The 18976-nt window shown below is 48.5% G+C and overlaps 2 protein-coding genes across 3 annotated transcripts in view, besides 5 other annotated features; one reads left to right on the top strand and one right to left on the bottom strand.

Annotated features, from left to right (window-relative positions):
- CRYBA4 (crystallin beta A4) overlaps nt 1-18976 on the bottom strand; it is a 40450-nt gene that overhangs the window by 12423 nt on the left and 9051 nt on the right. Inside the window, exon 3 of the mRNA XM_006724140.4 lies at nt 10185-10425. Coding sequence (XP_006724203.1) covers nt 10185-10187 — 3 coding nt within the window. The 5' untranslated portion in view covers nt 10188-10425. The remainder of the gene's footprint in view (nt 1-10184; nt 10426-18976) is intronic.
- Nucleotides 220-18969, top strand: CRYBB1 (crystallin beta B1). Of its 2 annotated transcripts, none has more exons than XM_011529899.4 (6): nt 220-270; nt 1919-2107; nt 6057-6175; nt 10226-10358; nt 16226-16368; nt 18574-18969. In XM_011529899.4, exons 2-6 carry the CDS (start codon nt 1928-1930, stop codon nt 18755-18757), a joined length of 759 nt encoding a protein of 252 aa, XP_011528201.1. In that variant the 5' UTR covers nt 220-270; nt 1919-1927; the 3' UTR covers nt 18758-18969. The 2 variants fall into 2 exon arrangements, with proteins under 2 accessions (XP_011528201.1, NP_001878.1); NM_001887.4 differs by having other exon boundaries at nt 1909-2107.
- Nucleotides 489-1166: an enhancer, noted in NCBI's record as "NANOG-H3K27ac-H3K4me1 hESC enhancer chr22:27013045-27013722 (GRCh37/hg19 assembly coordinates)". NCBI's record gives its function as "activates a minimal SCP1, AML or CMV promoter by ChIP-STARR-seq in primed H9 embryonic stem cells {active_cell/tissue: H9 hESC(primed)}" and the evidence as "EXISTENCE:reporter gene assay evidence [ECO:0000049][PMID:30033119]".
- Nucleotides 3877-4555: an enhancer, noted in NCBI's record as "OCT4-NANOG-H3K27ac hESC enhancer chr22:27009656-27010334 (GRCh37/hg19 assembly coordinates)". NCBI's record gives its function as "activates a minimal SCP1, AML or CMV promoter by ChIP-STARR-seq in primed H9 embryonic stem cells {active_cell/tissue: H9 hESC(primed)}" and the evidence as "EXISTENCE:reporter gene assay evidence [ECO:0000049][PMID:30033119]".
- Nucleotides 6908-6977: a silencer, noted in NCBI's record as "silent region_13574". NCBI's record gives its function as "represses an Ori minimal core promoter by ATAC-STARR-seq in GM12878 lymphoblastoid cells {active_cell/tissue: GM12878}" and the evidence as "EXISTENCE:reporter gene assay evidence [ECO:0000049][PMID:35858748]".
- Nucleotides 7588-7967: an enhancer, noted in NCBI's record as "active region_18796". NCBI's record gives its function as "activates an Ori minimal core promoter by ATAC-STARR-seq in GM12878 lymphoblastoid cells {active_cell/tissue: GM12878}" and the evidence as "EXISTENCE:reporter gene assay evidence [ECO:0000049][PMID:35858748]".
- Nucleotides 10207-10849: an enhancer, noted in NCBI's record as "H3K4me1 hESC enhancer chr22:27003362-27004004 (GRCh37/hg19 assembly coordinates)". NCBI's record gives its function as "activates a minimal SCP1, AML or CMV promoter by ChIP-STARR-seq in naive H9 embryonic stem cells {active_cell/tissue: H9 hESC(naive)}" and the evidence as "EXISTENCE:reporter gene assay evidence [ECO:0000049][PMID:30033119]".

Genomic DNA, 18976 nt, shown 5'->3' with positions numbered 1-18976 from the left:
GGTAGGGTTGGAAGGTGAAGCTGCTGTGGCCAGGGTTTCTGCTGTGTGTGCTGGTCTCACAAAGGAAAGTGCTGCTGTCTGCAGTGATCCAGGCGAGGTCAGGGCCCCAGTCCCCCACTCCCTGCCCAGGCCTGCTGAGCCAGCTTCCCCTTTGTGCCACAGACTATAGGGCCTGATGTCTGCCAGACTATAAAATGGGGGGTCGGACTCTAGTCACCCATAGCACCTGCCCGCCTGCCTGTCCTCCAGCAGGAAGTAGCAAGTCCCCAGGTAAGAGGGAACCCACAGCCCAGCTGAGAGCTGAAGGGGAGGGGAAGAGAAAAGGGAGACAGAGAGAGGGAGGCAGAGATAGCAGTGCCATGAGAGTCAGAGAGCAGGGCCATGGAGATAAAGACGGAAGTGGAGAGAGGAAGAAAGGGAGGGAGAGGGAGAGGGGAGAGAGTGAGAAAAGACAGAAATAGAGAGAGAAGTAAATATAATTAAAAAGGACAGATAGAGAGATAAGCAAAGATACAATGAGGGAGAGATAGTGGGGGAGAGAGGAACAGAGAGGGAGAGAAACAGACAGGCAGATAGGCAGAAAGAGGGAGAGAAGTAAGAAACAGATAGAGAGGCAAAGACAGGGAAGAGAGGAGGAACAGAGGGAGAGGGTGAAGCAGGGAGAGAGAGAGAATGAGAATATCTCCAGGAAGGCATGAGTCCAGCTGCCAGCCCTGGGGGAGTGTTTAAAGCCACAGATGTGGTCCAGATGTCTGGCCTCACCCCTGGTGAACAGGGGGCACCCCAGAATATGCACAGCCTTCCTGGAGGAGGCTGGGGGAGGGATGTGCTTATCCCAACTAGCTCCGCCTTACAGAATGTGTTCGGGAATCAGCTTGACCAGAGGGTCTTAATCTGTGCTAGCAGGGGGTCCTCAAATCCCTTAACATTGTCTCCAAAGTTAAAGAGAGCATTATTTTTGTCCGGGGACAAAGTTGAGGTATTCATCAAACATTCAAAGGAGTCCACGACCCCAAAGCAACAAGGAACCACTGGAATTGACCAAAGCCCTCTCCACCCAAAGCCTACCCAGCCCCAGTCCTCATTTTCAGAACCCTCCACATGCAGTAAATACATCCTCTTGGGTCCTCCCATAAGCCTCAGTCCCCGGCCTGTATTTGCACCCATACACCAACCCCTCAGAGGAAGCAGACGGGGAAAGGAGCTGGGAGCATGCATTCATTCATTCTCTGAACAAATGTTAATTGGGCATCTCCTATGTGCCAGGTGCAGAGCAAGTGTTAGGGATGGACGGTGAATAAATCAGATTAAGCAAATGGCAGAATACTTTAAAAGCCCAGTTGCTGGCTCCATTTCCTTGAGTTGAAATCAGAGCCCTACCACTTAGTAGCTGTTTGGGCCTGAGCTGGGCCCCTTCCTTCTCCAGCCCCCTGCTGCTCAGAGGGGATCATGATAGCAGCTACTCCATCGGGTGAGGTTCATGGTCAGATGGGTTAATTAATGTATGTCACAGTGCCTGGCACACCTTAAGTACTCCCAAATGGGACTTCTTGTTATTAGTCTAGGGAGGCAAATTGGAGTTGCACAAGCAAATCAGTGTGATAAGCAGTGTGGAAAATTGCAGGGGGCTAAGGAAGGACCTAGCGGGGTAATGGAGGGTGGAACAGCTAGTGGAGGGAACCGCATGGTCAAAAGCCTGGAGGAAGGATATATGTGGGATGAGTGGCCCCCAGACGGGAAGGTCTTGGCTGGGAAGTAGGGATGAAAGAAAAACTTCCAGGCTTAACCGTTTCAGAAGGAGATAGAGAGGAAACGAGCTCCAAGGAGGCTGAAAGCACAGGATGTGGGGCTATGAGGGCAGGAGGCAGTTTGGGGGTGTCATCCCTGAAGGCCAGAGTTTCTTTACAGACTTTTGCAGGCGGGAACCATGTCTCAGGCTGCAAAGGCCTCGGCCTCGGCCACAGTGGCGGTGAACCCAGGGCCTGACACCAAGGGGAAGGGGGCCCCACCTGCAGGAACATCCCCTAGTCCCGGCACTACCCTGGCCCCAACAACCGTGCCTATTACCAGCGCCAAGGCGGCGGAACTGCCTCCTGGGAACTACAGGGTAAGGACCTGGGGGTGCAGTGGCTGGGTGCCATGCCTTCTTTCCTTCCTTCCCTCCTCCTCCTTCTTCTCCTCCTCCTCTTCCTCTTTCACCTCTTACTCCTCCGCACCTCTTTCTCCTCCTTTTTCTTGGCTTATTTTCTCTCCTTTCTATTTACTCTCCCTTTTCTTCTTCTCCACCTCCCCAGACTCTTATCCTCTGTCCCTATTCTCTTTTTCCCTCACCTTGGCCTCCTCCTCCCTCCTCCTTCTGGGACACAAGTGTGGCCCAGCCAATCTGGGAGCCCATAAAATAGCCAGGGGTTCTGACACACTTGGAGAAAGTGGGGCCGGGCGCAGTGGCTCATGCCTGTAATCCCAGCACTTTGGGAGGCCGAGGCAGGTGGATCACCTGAGGTCAGGAGTTCGAGACCAGCCTGGCCAACATGGTGAAACCCTGTCTCTACTAAAAATACAAAAATTAGCCAGGCGTAGTGGTGGGCGCCTGTAATCCCAGCTACTTGGGAGGCTGAGGCAGGAGAATCACTTGAACCCAGGAGGCGGAGGTTGCAGTGAGCTGAGATCATGCCACTGCACTCCAGCCTGGGCAACAGAGGGAGACTCCATCAAAAAAAAAAAGAAAAGAATAGAAAGAAAAAGGGGACCTATAGTTGAGTTGTGCAATAACAACAACCAAACCATACCGCTTCACAGCTGAAGGGACACCTGGCAATCAGGCTACACCTGCACACGCACATGCTTAGAGTTTATCGAAAGCAAGAAAAAAAAAGAAGAAAAGGAAGTGGGCTGGCTTAGCAGCAGGGAACCAGCTGTCCTTGGAGGCTCACTGGGGCAGCAGGATGGCCTCAGACCCTCAAAATTGCTCGAGGTGGTCTGGGCTGAAAGGCATCCTGTGGAGCAAGGTGTCCAGTCCCCTGGGATTTGGTTTGGTGTGGTTTCAACCTCAGGTCACAGAAGTAGGCCATTTTGCAACCCCTAGTTCATGACACGCTCTCATGTGGTCAGTGCGTGGCAGGTTTTTATTTATGTACCTATTTAATCATTAGTTTTATTTAATTTCTAATAATGCAATATGCACCTACAAACCCACCACCCATATAAAAGCCAGGACTTGGTTAAAAACTTTCTACCTAACTCTAAGGTGTCTCCCTTGAGTCCATCATTTTCCTCCCCAACTCCAGGAAATACTGTCCTATCCTCAACCTGTGTCTGTAATCTGCTTGCTTGCTTTTGTATACAATTTTATGCATTATTCCTTTAAAAATGTATACACACATACACATGTATATTTATTTACTTGTTTTATTTATTCATTTATTTTGAGACCGAATTATGAGACGGGTTTTGCCATATTATCCAGGCTGGTCTCGAACTCCTAGCCTCCGCCTCCCCAAGTGCTGGAATTATAGGTGTGAGCCACCGCAACTGGCCGATTTACTTGTTTTTAATTTATTGAAATATGCAATGTGATTATTCTGGGCTTTTCTTTGTACTTTTCACTTACTATGAGATCCCTAATATCCATCCATATTGTTGCGCATGACTGCCGGCCATTCATTCTGGCTGCTGCCTGATATTTCAGAGCGTGACCATCTCTTTCCTGCTAAGCACGATTTCAGTGGTTGCTAGCTTTGCTCTCGTGAACAGCATGGCTTGGACGTTCTTATCCCTGTCTCCTGGTATCGGGGAACCTGCCCCGATATTCACATAGATTCTTTTCTATTTTTCCTAAGCGTCGGCCAGCTTGAGAAATAAAGGGACAGAGTACAAAAGAGAAAAATTGTAAAGCTGGGCGTCCGGGGGAGACATCACATGTCAGTAGGTTCCGTGATGCCCCACAAGCTGCAAAAACCAGCAAGTTTTTATTAGGGAGTTTCAAAAGGGGAGGGAGTGTGAGAATAGGTGTGGGTCACAGACATCAAGTACTTTACAAGGTAATAGAATATCACAGGGCAAGTGGAGGCAGGGAGAGATCACAGGATCACAGGACCGGGGCAAAATTAAAATTGCTAATGAAGTTTTGGGCACCATTGTCATTGATAACATCTTATCAGGAGACAGGGTTTTGAGATCAACCGGTCTGGCCAAAATTTATTAGGCAGGAATTTCCTCTTCCTAATAAGCCTGGGAGAGCTATGGGAGACTGGAGTCTATCTCATCTCTGCAGCGTCGACCATAAGAGACGACCACGCCCAGGGGGGCCAGTTTAGAGACCTAACCCCAGGTGCGCATTCTCTTTCTCAGGGATGTTCCATGCTGAGAAAAAGAATTCAGCGATATTTCTCCCATTTGCTTTTGAAAGAAGAGAAATATGGCTCTGTTCTGCCCGGCTCACTGGCGGTCAGAGTTTAAGGTTATCTCTCTTATTCCCTGAACAATTGCTGTTATCCTGTTCTTTTTTAAGGTGCCCACATTTCATATTGCTCAAACACACATGCTGTACAATTTGTGCAGTTAATGCAATTATCACACGGTCCTGAGGCGACATACATCCTCCTCAGCTGACAGGATTAAGAGATTAAAGTAAAGACAGGCATAGGAAAGCACAAGGGTATTGATTGGGGAAGTGATAAGTGTCCATGAAATCTTTACAATTTATGTTTACAGATTGCAGTAAAGACAGGCATAAGAAATTACAAAAGTATTAATTTGGGGAACTAATAAATGTCCATGAAATCTTCACAATCCACGTTCTTCTGCCATGGCTTCAGCCAGTTCCTCCGTTTGGGGTCCCTGACTTCCCGCAACATCCCGGGGCACACATACAGGAGTTTCTCTTGGGCAACCAAAGGTAGAAGTGGAAGTGCTGGGTCATGGTTATATGAACCTCCCCTCCTCTTACAGCTGGGGAAACTGAGGCTCAAAGAAGGCAGAAAATTGTGCCTTGGTCCATGTGAATGGCAACGTTGTCCCAACTTGGAACAGCAAGTGGACAAGGAACCAAACATGAGGCTTAGTGAGGAGAGAAGATTAGCTCAAGTTTTCCCCTATGTTGTGGAGGGTTGGATTTGCAAGTGTCTCCTGAGCATCAGCTCTGTGGCAGGTACTGGGGCTGGGGCTGGAGATACAGAAATTGATCAACCTCAGGCCCTGCCCTGGAGGAGTCCTTGGTCTTTGGAGGGGCTGGGTAATGGGAGAGAGGGAGTGCAGAGAGAGAGGGAGACCCCAAAGCAAAACAGCAGTGACTGTGTGGTGGGTTAGTTGTGCTGCTAATGGGGAGAGGACAGTGGGGGATGCTCAACCAAGGCCGATGGAGGAAGGGGCAATCAGAGAAGGCTTCCTGGAGAAGGTGGCACCTGAGCCTAAAACAGAATAACGAGCTGGAATGCGTATTAGGGAACTTCAGTTAGGCAGTGGGAGCTCCAAGCTGGATATGTGTGGTGGAGAAGGCATTCCAGGCAGGAGGAATAGCACAAAGAAAGGCCTGAAAGGGAGGTTCATAAGTTCCTAATGATGGCGCAGATCTTAGCTTCAGAATTAGGGCATGAGGCCAGGTGCAATGGCTCATGCCTGTAATCCCAACACTTTGGGAAGCCAAGGCAGGCCAATCATTTGAGCTCAGGAATTCGAGACCAGCCTGAGCAACATGGCAAAATCCTGTCTCTACAAAAAATAGCCAGGCATGGTGGTGGGTGCCTGTAATCTCAACTACTCGGAGGCTGAGGTGGGAGGATCGCTTGAGCCTGGGAGGCGGAGGTTGCAGTGAGCCATGATTGCGCCACTGAACTTCAGCTGGGGCGACAGAGTGAGACTCAGAAAAACAAACAAACAAACAAAAAACAAAAATCAGTAAAGAATTGGGGGATGGGAGGACAGGATCATTTCACAAACTGTGGCTCATCACACTTTTATGTGACTCCTGCACTGCTGGCTTTTATTTATGTAGATACTTAATGAATTTTTGACTCCCCCCTCACTCTGCCCTTGGCATGGGGGCTTCTCTCCTGCAGCTGGTGGTCTTCGAACTGGAAAACTTCCAGGGCCGTCGAGCAGAATTCTCGGGGGAGTGCTCAAATCTGGCAGACCGTGGCTTCGACCGTGTGCGCAGCATCATTGTCTCCGCGGGACCGTGAGTACTGGGCGGCGGAGGGGCACACTCTCTGCCACAGTAAAATGACCACACAACAGTAGCTGCCATTTCTCCAGCATCTGCTCTGTGCCTGCGGCCGTTCGTACTCCTGGCACATACATTATGTCCAATCCTCATATCAAACTGAAGAGGGAGGAATTGTTCTCAATCTCATTTTACGGATGAGGAAACTGAGGCTCGGAGAGGTGATCCAATTAGCATAAGATCACACTGGCAGTAAGCCATGGTTCTGGGCTCTGGAGAAATGCTGCTTCTACTATAGCAAAAACTCTAGCCCGGCCGGGCGCGGTGGCTCACGCCTGTAATCCCAGCACTTTGGGAGGCCGAGGCGGGTGGATCACGAGGTCAGGAGATCGAGACCATCCTGGCTAACAAGGTGAAACCCCGTCTCTACTAAAAATACAAAAAATTAGCCGGGCGTGGTGGCGGGCGCCTGTAGTCCCAGCTACTCGGGAGGCTGAGGCAGGAGAATGGCGTGAACCCGGGAAGCGGAGCTTGCAGTGAGCCGAGATTGCGCCACTGCAGTCTGCAGTCCGGCCTGGGCGACAGAGCGAGACTCCGTCTCAAAAAAAAAAAAAAAACAAAAAAAAAAAAAACAAACTCTAGCCCATTACCGAGGGCTGAGAGAGGTCAAAGAGTGAAGTGTCCACTCGCTGTCCCCTCTCCTGGGCGTCCAGCTGCCTGGGAGTAATGATAAGCATCTGTGGCACACCCACCAGGTGCCAGGCACTGACTCGGGACCACACCTAGATGATTCACAGTGCTGTAGGAGGCAGAGGCTATTCTTATGCCCACTTGACAGATGGAAAGACTGAGGCTCAGAGGGGGTGAGTCTCTTACCCAAGGTCACCTATTGGTAAGTGGCACAGCCAGGATTCAACTCAGGTTGATTGAGTTCATTCCTAAAGCTCTTAATCACCATGCTTCACTGCCTGTTCCTGTCTCTGTGGGTGTCTCTGGGCCTTAGTGACTCCCATATAAAACAGGGATAGTCATCCTTGGGCAGAGTGGTTGCCCTATGTCCAGCCTGTGTGTGCTGAGGTCAGGGTGGAGGGGCAGCCCCAGGACAAGATCCACGCAGCTCGTTTGCTCTTGTCTCCCCCACTTTGAAAGCCTGCAAGGGTTCCAGTCATCCTGTATTCTGAGCCCATTCCGAGATGAGCTTTGAGGTCAGACAAGCCTGGGTTTGAGTCCTGACTTCCCCTGTTTGCCTTGTTCAGTGTGCAAGCCTCAGTTTCCCCATCTTTGAAATGGGGAGAAGGATGGCCCTCACCACTCCTCACAGGATTATGCTGAGGTCTGAGGGAGATCATACAGCATGGGCCTGTTACCTTGTGGGCACCCAAACATGGCAGGTGACTCTGATGGTCACGTACCCACCTCCCTGCCCGGTGAATTTAGCCAACTTATCCTGGAGGCTACCCGGGACCATTTCTACCTCCTGCACCCTCAGTGTGGTCAACGCAGCCTCAGCTCCACCCTCAGCCCCAAAACCCAGCTGGAAGCAGAAGCTACCGGATGTGGCCAGCATGGGTTTTCAGGCTTTTTTTGGTACCAGTGACTCAAACCCAGAGTATTTCTCCTCAAACAAAGATGCAGCTGGTGTCTGACGTGTGCCTTGGAGCCGTGCCTGATGGGCATGGAAACGGGCCTGTGGTCCGGGGGCCTGGGTCTGTGTGGGCGCTGGCAGGGCCATGGGAAAAAAAGAATGAAGAGGGTGAGGTAGGCATGGGGAAAGTGAGGAGGCCTGCCTGCCTGAAACCCAGGAGACTGCAGCCTGACACCCAACACCATCATGTGACCTTAGGCTGGGGACTTAACCCCTCTTAGCCTCAGTTTCCATATCTTATAAATTAAAATTCCTGCCCTACCCTCTCTCCCTGCTTGCGGGTTGAAATGAGCCATGGGAGATAAGAAAAGGCATAGATATAAACATTTAAAATTTAGATCCTCACTGGTCCTGCTGAAGAAGATAGGGGAGATTTTAGGGGGACTTGGGCATGGTGGCAAGACCACATCAGTGTCTGTTTTTCCAGAAGCCTAGACCTCCAGTTTCCTTCTCCCTTTAATCAGGAACAGTATTAATTTGGAGGCTTACTCTGTGCTGTATCTGTTCCATGCATTCCCTCTTTTAGGCCCTCATAATCTCCCAACAAGGTAGATGCAACAAAGTAGATGTATCATTTCTTCTCTGTTACTAAAGCTTAGCAGGTGTAAGTGCTGCCCAAATGCATGCAGCAAATGGCAAAGCTTGGATTAGAATTCAGGTCTGTCTGTTTCCAGGGTCTGTCCTCTTAACTCCTACATGAAACCACCTTCCAAGGCTCCCTTCTTATTCACCCATGCGTCTATCCACCCATTTATTCATCATCCATCTACTTACCCATGCATCTACCCATTCGTCTATTGATCTATCCATACATACATCCATTCTCCATTTATACACACGTACCCACCATGTGTTCTCCATCACCCACCCATCCATCTATAAATCTATCCATCTACCCACCCATCCATCTACCCATCTAGCTATCCATCAATTCAACCATCCCTTCATCCATCCCTTTATCCATGCATCCATTCATCTGTCCATCTACCCATCCACCTATCCATCTATTCAACCATCCTTTCATCCACCCATCCATCCACCCATTCATCTGTCCATCCATCCATCTATTCTCCCATTTATTTCTCTTCTACTCCAGACCAGACAGGGCTGAGGCAAATGCAACTCTATTCTGGGAAGACAAACATATCTTTAATTTACTCCAGTGTGGTTAACTCATCTCTCAGACAAAGACCTGAGGCTCCTGTGATGCATTCTGTCTCAGCCCATGGTGATAGCCCATCATCCTTGTCTCCTTCTGGGGAGAGCAGGGTCCCAGCAGCCCCCTGGGAGAAGATGCTAGTGTCAGTGTCCCCTCATCCGTCTCTTTTTTCCTAAGAACTCTTGAACACACGGGGAGCAAAGGTCAAGGAGTTCCTTAGTCTCAGCTTTCTCATCTACGGAATGGGGATTGTCTTATCTACCCCACCTGCACTGCCACAATCCCTGGTCCCTGTAACACAAGCTCACTTCTTGTCCTTAATCAATCTTCACTGGGAAAGCCAGGAAAATCTTCCATCTAATTTCAAACTTCTAATTAGTCCATGTAAGGAACCTAGCATCTTCATAAGCGCTATCACATTATATTACCATAGGTATCTGAGGGTAGATATTACCATCATTCCCTTCCCATTGCCTCATACTAGTTACTGAGTATCTCCCGAATACCAGGCCAGTATTTACCCAGCAAGGATGCAAACACCTGTATCAATTTTTCCCTTACCCCTGTACCTCCGAGACTGTCGTTCATTTAATATATTTCATTTAAAATGATCCTGCTAACCACAAATAAACACATTTTAAAAGAACCCTGACACCACTTTTTACAAATGGAAGGCTAGTATTATTTCCTATAAGTAAAAGGTATCCATACAAAATTAACAATAAACACAAAAGTGGTATTATTATGTTGCTATTACACCATTGTCTGCTGGAGGTTCTGGGCTAGTGGTCTTTTCTCTCTTTGTTACAAAAGAAAAAAAGGAGAGATTAGTAAGTGTTAAAGGCACATTAACATCAAACGAGCCTTTCTCCTAGCTGGCGTCAAGTTTCAAATGTCTATGTGTTCCTTGGCTCCAAGTCCTGATAGTACTTGAAGCATGTATGAACCTTACATCTAGAGAAACAGTGTGCTCAGATAATCACACACATTTATCTCACTTAATCCTTCACCAACTCCAAGGAAACAGGCATATGAGTGTAGATGAGAAACAAAGGCTCAGAGAGGTAAAGTCACTTGCCCATAGTCACACAGCCTGTAAGTGTCAGAGCCTAAAATCAAACCCAGACATGTTCAGCCCCCTTTGGACTTTCCTACTGTCCTCAGGGCTGCCTTGCCAGGGGAGAGAGAAAGGCAAGTAGGGAGTGGGGGCTTCTACTAACCATATGTCTCCTGTCTGCCTCATGGTCCTTCTTGTATCCAGCTGGGTCGCCTTTGAGCAGTCCAACTTCCGCGGGGAGATGTTCATCCTGGAGAAGGGCGAGTACCCTCGCTGGAACACATGGTCGAGCAGCTACCGCAGTGATCGGCTCATGTCCTTCCGGCCCATCAAAATGGTGAGTGGCTCTCCGGCTGGGGCTGGAGAATCAGCCAGGCGGGGCAGGGCAGGTGTAAGTCTGAGATCTGACAAGGGCAAGAAGGAGATGATGGTGGGTAGGGAGGCGTGGCAGCCTCCGAGTTGTCAAAGGACCGTGGATTCTTGAGCTCATCAATTCATCAGTGTCCTTAACACACTCACTACATACCCAGCTAGGAACCCTGGGCAAATGATAAGCACAAAAGCTTCCAAGTTAGAGCTAAAAACTTCAGCATCTTCCTTGATTCTCTTGATATCCCTGGCTGCACATTTAGACCTTACTGGGAGCTTTTTTTTTTTTTTTTTTTCCCAAAGATGGGGTTTTGCTGTGTCCCCCAGCCTGGTGTACAGTAGTGTGATCATAGCTCACTGCAGCCTTGAACTCCTGGCCTCAAGTGATCCTCCCGCCTGGGCCTCCTAAAGTGCTAGGATTACAGCCGTGAGCCACCATGCCAGGCCTGGGAAAACTTTTCAAATTTCAGTGCCCATTCGAAACACCAAACATGCTGGTTGCAGATCATGCAATGGCTAAGAAGAGGGATATTGTAGCCGGGCATGGTGGCCCATGCCTGTAATCCCAGCACTTTGGGAGGCTGAGGTGGGTGGTTACCCAAGGTCAGGAGTTCAAGACCAGCCTGATCAACATGACGAAACCCCGTCTTTACTAAAAATACAAAAATTAGCCGGGCGTGGTGGCGCATGCCTGTAATCCCAGCTACTAGCAAGGCTGAGGCAGGAGAATTACTTGAACCCGGGAGCCAGAGGTTGCAGTGAGCCGAGATCATGCCATTGCACTCCAGCCGGGGTGACGGTGCCAGACTCCATCTCAAAAAAAAAAAAAAAAAAAAAGGAGAGGGATACTGTAGAAACGCAGCTTGAACCTCTTAATAATAAGACAATATACTGAATTAGTTTCTTATAATATTTAACTAAGTCAACTTCCAGAAGATTCAAGGTCAAAATGGTGGCGATATCTCCAAGTGATTCACAGTTTTTTCCAGAATTAAGTTGATGATGAGTCATGAACCAGCTACATCTTACTCACCAATGTTAGTTGCTGATGGTAACCGACTTTTGTCTTCCATGATGGGAACATTTATAAGAATTTTCATGAATGTGCATTTGAGGCTATCAAGTGCCAACCACCAGCTGTTTTGACATCACCAAATTTATCTTAATGGATTATTCAAACAGATCATTCCCAACACTTTTCGCAGAATGTAAGACTGAATTATTTGCCTTCATGATGCACTCTCTGTAAGAATTCACAGATGTCTCTCTCAATCATTGAATGGTTCTTATATGCCAACCTATGTTAAGGGGTTTGTTTGGAAGAGTGATCAACCAGGGCATTTCCAGTAGCTTCTAGAAGCTTGCTATTCAACATAATAGGCAGTAGCCATATGTGGCCATTGGACACTTGAATTTTGGCTAAATGGAGATGTGTCATAAGTGTAAAATACATATTAGGTTTTGAATACATAGTAAAAAAAATTTTAAAGAATGTCAACAATGCATTGATATCATTATATTGGTTACATATTGAAATTATAATATTTTAGGTATATTTGTTTAAATAAAATATGTTATTAGAAATGTTTAGAAATCTCAAAGCCTAGACCCCACCCCAGACCAATTAATTCTGAATCTCTAGGGCTGGAACTCCGGCACTGCTATCTTTTCTATGCCCTCTAAGTAGTCCGTCTGTGCAGCCAGGGCTGAGATCCAACCATCTAATTCAGGGGTGCCCAATATTTTGGCTTCCCTGGCCCACGCTGGAAGAATTGTCTTGGGCTACACATAAAATACACTATCACTAACGATAGCGGATGAGCTTTAAAACAATTGCAAAAAAAATCTCATAATGTTTTAAGAAAGTTCACAAATTTGTGTTGGGCCACATTCAAAGCCATCCTGAGCCACATGTGGCCTGCAGGCCGCAGGTTAAATAAGCTTGGTCTAACCCTTCCTCTCTCTGCCCTGCCACAGTCCTGGTCCAGGCCACCATCATCTCTGACCTGGTCATCTTCAGCTCTCTCCCTGCTGGGTTCCCTGACTCCTTTCCAGCCCCCTGTCGTGGGAAGTTAGAGGGATCTTTTCAAAATAAAAAAAAAAAATAAACCTGACCATCTTCTACTTGAACCCAGACATTTTGGTTGGCCTGTTTCTATTTTCCTTTTTTTTTTTTTTTTTTTTTGAGACACATCTAACTCTGTTGCCCAGGCTGGAGTGTAGTGGCACGTTCTGGCTCACTGCAACCTTCACCTCCCTGGGGCAAGCAATTCTCCTGCCTCAGCCTCCCAAGTAGCTGGGATTATAGGTGTGCACCGCCACGCCCAGATAATTTTTGTATTTTTTATAGAGACAGGGTTTCATCATGTTGGCCAGGATGGTCTCAAACTCCTGATCTCAAGTGATCTACCCGCCTGGGCCTCCCAAAGTGCTGGGATTACAGGCATGAGCCAGTGCGCCCAACCAGTTGGCCTGTTTCTGCCAGGCTCTGGTTCTAGGCTCTGAGTGCAAAACTGTGCATCAAACAGACTAGGTCCCTGTCTTCATGGGACTTAAGCTACCCAGGGAGGCAGCTATCAAAAAGCTAATCATAAAAATCCATCTACAATTGCAAACTGTGGTAGGTGTTACACAAAGGCCATGCAATCTAACTAGGAAAGCAGAAGCAGGAACTGGGGGCTCAGATATTGTTAGAGGTGGGAGTGGTCAGGGGGTCATCAGGGAAGCCAGCTCCCAAAGTTTGGAAACCAACTCAGCCACGTGAAGAGCAGATGGTAAAGCCTTCCAGGGAACAGTGTGTGCAAAACTCCTAGAGCAACGATGGACTGGTGGGACCAAGAAAATTAAAGGTGGCCAACAAAGCTGCAGCAGAGGGAGTGGAGGAAAGAGGGAGGCAAGATGGGAGGGGAGGTGGTGGTGGAGACCAGGGTCTTGTAGGGTCTCATAGGTGGTGGCAAGTTCAGTCTTGACCCCTCTAGCAGTGGGGAGCCATTGACTAACAACCTTCCCAAGGCCCTCAAGACCGTAACAGTAATAAGTAATCATTGTTGTACTTTTACCACTGGCTGGTAATTGCACTAAGGGCATTTGTCTTGCCATGCCCCAAAGGGTCCCCTGTGCTTACATCCCTGCCTGGCACCTTGCACTTGCCTTCCTGCACCCTGGCCACACAGATATTGTCTTGCACATTCCCACCTCCCAGCTTTTGCCTATGCCTTCTCTGCCTCAGTGCCTTCCCTCAACCCTCCTTCCCTTCTCAGCTTTGTGCACTCCTCCTTAACCTCCAAGGTCCCTCTCTAGTGTCACTTCTTCCATGAAGCCTTCCCTGATCTGCTCTGCTTTTCTCTGGAAGAATTAACCAGTTCTTTCTTCATCTATAATCTCCTACTGGAGTCTTTCACAGAAGGATGCACTTACGTTCTGGGCTCCTCTTCCTCCTAGTGGTGGTGAATAACAGTAGATAATAACAGTAGATAATCACAGCATCCATTTTTAAGCACCAACTACGTACTGGGTATATTACCTGCCTTTTACATAATCCCTACAACTGTCCTATGCTACAGGCTATGATAACATGCATTTTAAAAGCAAGGAAACTGAGACTCAGAAGTAGAAAATGACTGGCCTAAGGCCACACAGCTGGGAGTTGCTGGGGCTGGGATTTGAACCAAGGTCTGTGGGTTTGAACCTAGACACTGAGGTCCGGCATCACTCTGCTATTTCCTGTTCATCTCTTTGGCTCTTCAAACCCTTGGGCCTAAAACAGTGCATGATGACTTTTGAAAAGATGGATGATCCCTGCCCTCAGAAATAACAGACGAACTTTAAAAACAAGATACAGGGTCATGAAAGCATTAAAAATAAGTGCAAGCCAGAACTGAATCATGTGCCCACATTCAAGGGTGGGCCTGGTTGTTTGTTTGTTTGTTTTTTGAGACAGAGTCTTGCTCTGTCACCCAGGCTGGAGTGCAGTGACACAATCTTGGCTCACTGCAACCTCTGCCTCCCAGGTTCAAGTGATTCTCCTGCCTCAGCCTCCTGAGTAGCTGGGACTACAGGTGCGTGCCACCACGCCCAGCTAATTATTATTATTATTATTATTATTTTGTATTTTTAGTAGAGATGGGGTTTCTCCATGTTAGTCAGGCTGGTCTCGAACTCCTGACCTTGTGATCCCACCCATCTTGGCCTCCTAAAGTGCTGGGATTACAGGCGTGAGCCACCGCGCCCGGCCAGGCCTGTTTTATAGTTGGACTGAACCGTGAGTTGAGTAGCCATGACAATCCCACGAAGCAATAGTAACCCCATTCTTTTTTGTTGTTGTTGTTTGAGACAGTCTTGCTCTGTCGCCCAGGCTGGAGTGCAGTGGTGTGATCTCGCCTCACTGCAACCTCCACCTCCCAGGTTCAAGTGACTCTCCTGCCTCAGCCTCCCGAGTAGCTGGGATTACAGGCACATGTGATTGCACCTGGCTAATTTTTGCATTTTTAGTAGAGATGGGGTTTCACCATGTTGGCCAGGCTGGTCTTGGACTCCTGACCTCAGGTGATCTACCTGTCTCGGCCTCCCAAAGTGCTGGGATTACAGATGTGAGCCACCATGCCTGGCAATAACCCCATTCTACAGATGAACAAACTGAGGCTCTGAAGGAGGCAGAGTAAAATGTCCAAGATCACCAGTGCATAAATGTCAGAGGCAGGATTTGTTTTTTGTTTTTTTTTTTTTTTTTTTGAGACGGAGTCTCGCTCTGTTGCCCAGGTTGGTGTGCAAGTGGCACGATCTCGGCTCACTGCAAGCTCTGCCTCCTGGGTTCACGCCATTCTCCTGCCTCAGCCTCCCAAGTAGCTGGGACTACAGGCTCCCACCACCACGCCCGGCTAATTTTTTTTGTATTTTTAGTAGAGACGGGGTTTCATCGTGTTAGCCAGGATGGTCTTGATCTCCTGACCACATGATCTGCCCGCCTCGGCCTCCCAAAGTGCTGGGATTATAGGAGTGAGCCATCGCACCCGGCCTAGAGGCAGGATTTGAACCTAGATCTGTGTTCCACCAATGTTCCACGTTTCACCTGGTTTGTAAGAAGCATTTACAAAAGGGCAATTGGTTAAACTCCTGATGGCACAGGGACACTGCTTAGGAATGAAGTGTTTCTCTGAAAGGTTCTGCCCCTCCCTGGCTGTGTGATGTTGATCAATAAGCTTGACCTCTCTGAGCCTTTTTGTCCCTGATCATAATTTTAAAAATAATAAATACTTTTTTTTTTTTTGAGACAGGGTCTTGCTCTGTCACCCAGGCTGGAGTGCAGTGGTGTAATCATATCTCGCTGCAGCCTCAACTTCCTGGGCTCAAGCAATCCTCCTGCCTCAGCCTTCCAAGTAGCTGAGACTACAGGCATGCACCACCATGCCTGGCAAATTAAAAAAAAAATTATTTTTTTGAGAGACAGGATCTTGCTATGTTGCCCAGGCTGGTCTTGAACCCTTGGCCTCAAGCAGTCCTCCCACCTGGGCCTCTCAAAGTGCTGGAATTACAGACATGAGCCATGGCACCCGGCCAATAAATGCATTTATTGAGCACTTGATGTATGCCAGGCATCGTGCTCAGTGCTCTATATGGATACACTCATTTCATCCTCACGAGGACCCTATGACGTGGGAGTTGTCATCCCATTTTCCTTATGTCTCCTTCCAGACTAGACAGCAGTGGTCCCTGGAGAGTCCCCCAGCAGCCTGAACAGGCTCATCTCTCTCGCTCCACACCCAGAAGGCCCCGCTAAGTTTCTTCTCTTTGTCCCATTTGTACTTCACACACCTGACCCGGCCTCTCTTTCCCCAGGATGCCCAGGAGCACAAAATCTCCCTGTTTGAAGGGGCCAACTTCAAGGGCAACACCATAGAGATCCAGGGGGACGACGCACCCAGTCTCTGGGTCTACGGCTTCAGTGACCGCGTGGGCAGCGTGAAGGTCTCCAGTGGAACGTAAGCATCCCTCCTGCCAGGTCCGCGTCCCCTGCTTCAAGCACAGGCAGAATCAGAGGCTGCTCCCCTTACAGGTTATAACATCAGATTCCTAGAGAAGGCCATGGCCCCTTCCACAGTCTCCCAGTGCTGGTTCCTGGGATCAGCCAACAGAGCTCTATTCCTCTGGGGAATAGAGTCACACTTTGAGGAATTCCAGGTCAGTGTAAACAAATCAGCTCTAAAAAGCTGTTAGATGGAGAAAATAGGAGCTGCTAAGCCTAGTTGGGGTTGAAGGAGTAATCAACTAAAAGGGCCGGCGCTGATGTGGATAGATGAGGCTGGATGCATCCAGGAGCAGGGAATATTCAGGGAAATCAGAAGCTTCTGGGAGAATGAACAGAATGAGTTCTGAGCAGTGAATTTGCATCATAAGATGGCCCTGACCCTGCTACTGACATGCTGAGGAACTCGAGTGAGCCTAAACACCTCTCTGCCTCTCAGTCTTGCCAGCTAGGCAATGGGCACACAAAATTCCCTGATCCAAGAGTGCCCTTCCTGCTCTGAACGCTCAGGATCTGAAGCTATCAAAACGGAGCCCCATGACCTTATGTCATGAGAATACATGGAAGGGCCAGATCAAAGGAGTCACTTTATCCATCCCCCTGCCTCCAAATGACCATGCCAGACACCCTTGATCTCCTCTAGGTAAACGTAAGGCTCTGTCTCTCCATTCCCAGACTTGTTCTGAGCTCCTGTAACACCATCATGGCTATGGCCTTTTTCTTGTTCCTTTCTGCCTCCCTGAAACCTATATCCCTGCCATTCAAGCCATCTGAAATATACGGAGCCTTGTCTGTGAGCCAGGCACTGTGCTAGGTACACTGGGGAAAGCAGCGATGAATACAGCCAAGTTCCTACCTTCAAGGAACTTACTTGGCCTAGCAGGGAAACCCAGATATACCTGTGAGATGGTGTCCAACAATACTAGGTAAAGAATGGGCCAGCCAGGGCAACTGTGTTGTAGGAGGTCAGAGGAGGAGAGGTTTCTAGGATTTGGCTGTGTATGTTAGGGCAGAGGGCAGGTCAAAGGTTTATCTGCAGAGGATGGAACTTAAACCAGGCTTTACAATATAGGGAGGGGGTCTGGCAGAAGCCTGGAAAGACCCTCTCAGCAAAGACAATGAGAGAAGTTAGAAATTAATCACTGATGATAACTTCTATTGAGTGCTTACTATGTACCAAGGACTGTGCTAACCACTTTAAATGAATAACTATTAAATCTTCATAACAAACCAAGGAGGTGGGTGCATTATCATCCCCACTGTACAGACAGTACATTGAGGTTCTGATACCTTATCCACCTAGATTCTCACAGCTAGTAAATCAATGGCAGAGCTAGGATTTGAACCCACATATATTTGATACCAGAGTATGTGTTCCCAGCTGCTACGCACTGATGCACTTACCTACAAAGAAAACCAATTTTTTTTTTTTTGAGATGGAGTCTCGCTCTGTCCCTCAGGCTGGAGTACAGTGGTGCAATCTCAGCTCACTGCAAGCTCCGCCTCCTGGGTTCACGCCGTTCTCCTGCTTCAGTCTCCCGAGTAGCTGGGACTACAGGTGCCCACCACCACACCCTGCTAATTTTTTTGTATTTTTAGTAGAGACGGGGTTTCACTGCATTAACCAGGATGGTCTCGATCTCCTGACCTTGTGATTTGCCCGCCTCAGCCTCCCTAAGTGCTGGGATTACAGGCTTGAGCCACCGCGCCCAGCCAAGAAAACCAATTTTTTGAAATAACACTTCCTCTCTTTCATTTGCTTCATTGTTAACCAGTCCCTAAGTCCTATTCTTGCTTCCTTGGATTTGTTCTCTGAGCCCTGCATCATCACGTTTAATGGGATGTGTATTCATATTCCTACCATGCACAGGCAACATGCTTAGCAAACACTTGAGGTGCATTCTCCATTTGGTCCCCCCCAGCACTCTTAATAAAACCAGGCACCGTGACCATGCTCACTTCCTAGAAAAGGAAACCGAGGCCTATCAGAGAGGCAAAGTCCTTGCCCCAGGGCACAGAGCAGGAAGGGATATAGCCAGGACAGAAGTGAGAGAGCAGCCGACTGCAGGGATCAATGAAGGACAGGCTGGTCTGGCAGGGGTCTGGGTGCCAGGCAACGAGACAGGCTGTCTCCACTCTGTCCTTCTCACTTTTCTCTCAGATGGGTTGGCTATCAGTATCCTGGCTACCGCGGGTACCAGTACCTCCTAGAGCCTGGTGACTTCCGGCACTGGAATGAGTGGGGAGCCTTCCAGCCACAGATGCAGTCCCTGCGTCGCCTGCGTGACAAGCAGTGGCACCTCGAGGGGTCCTTCCCTGTCCTGGCCACAGAGCCCCCCAAGTGAGTCCACACCTCACTCTGCTACCTTGCCCCAACCCTTCTTCATGTTCAATTATTTCCCCCATTTTTCCCAGGCAAATAAAATTCCCTAAAGCCAAAATTTCTCCTGGATCTGTAAACAGATGTGTGCCTTGAGGTCCCCCATAGTTACTGGGATGTGACTTCCTCGCTCTTAATAATTACAACGATAATAAAAGCAGCAAACACTGAAAAGTTCTTTCTG

Source organism: Homo sapiens, chromosome 22 (assembly GCF_000001405.40).
Source record: "Homo sapiens chromosome 22, GRCh38.p14 Primary Assembly".
NCBI lineage: Eukaryota > Metazoa > Chordata > Mammalia > Primates > Hominidae > Homo > Homo sapiens.
The sequence above is the reverse complement of the archived record's forward strand: the minus strand, read 5'-3'. Positions and strand labels throughout refer to the sequence as shown.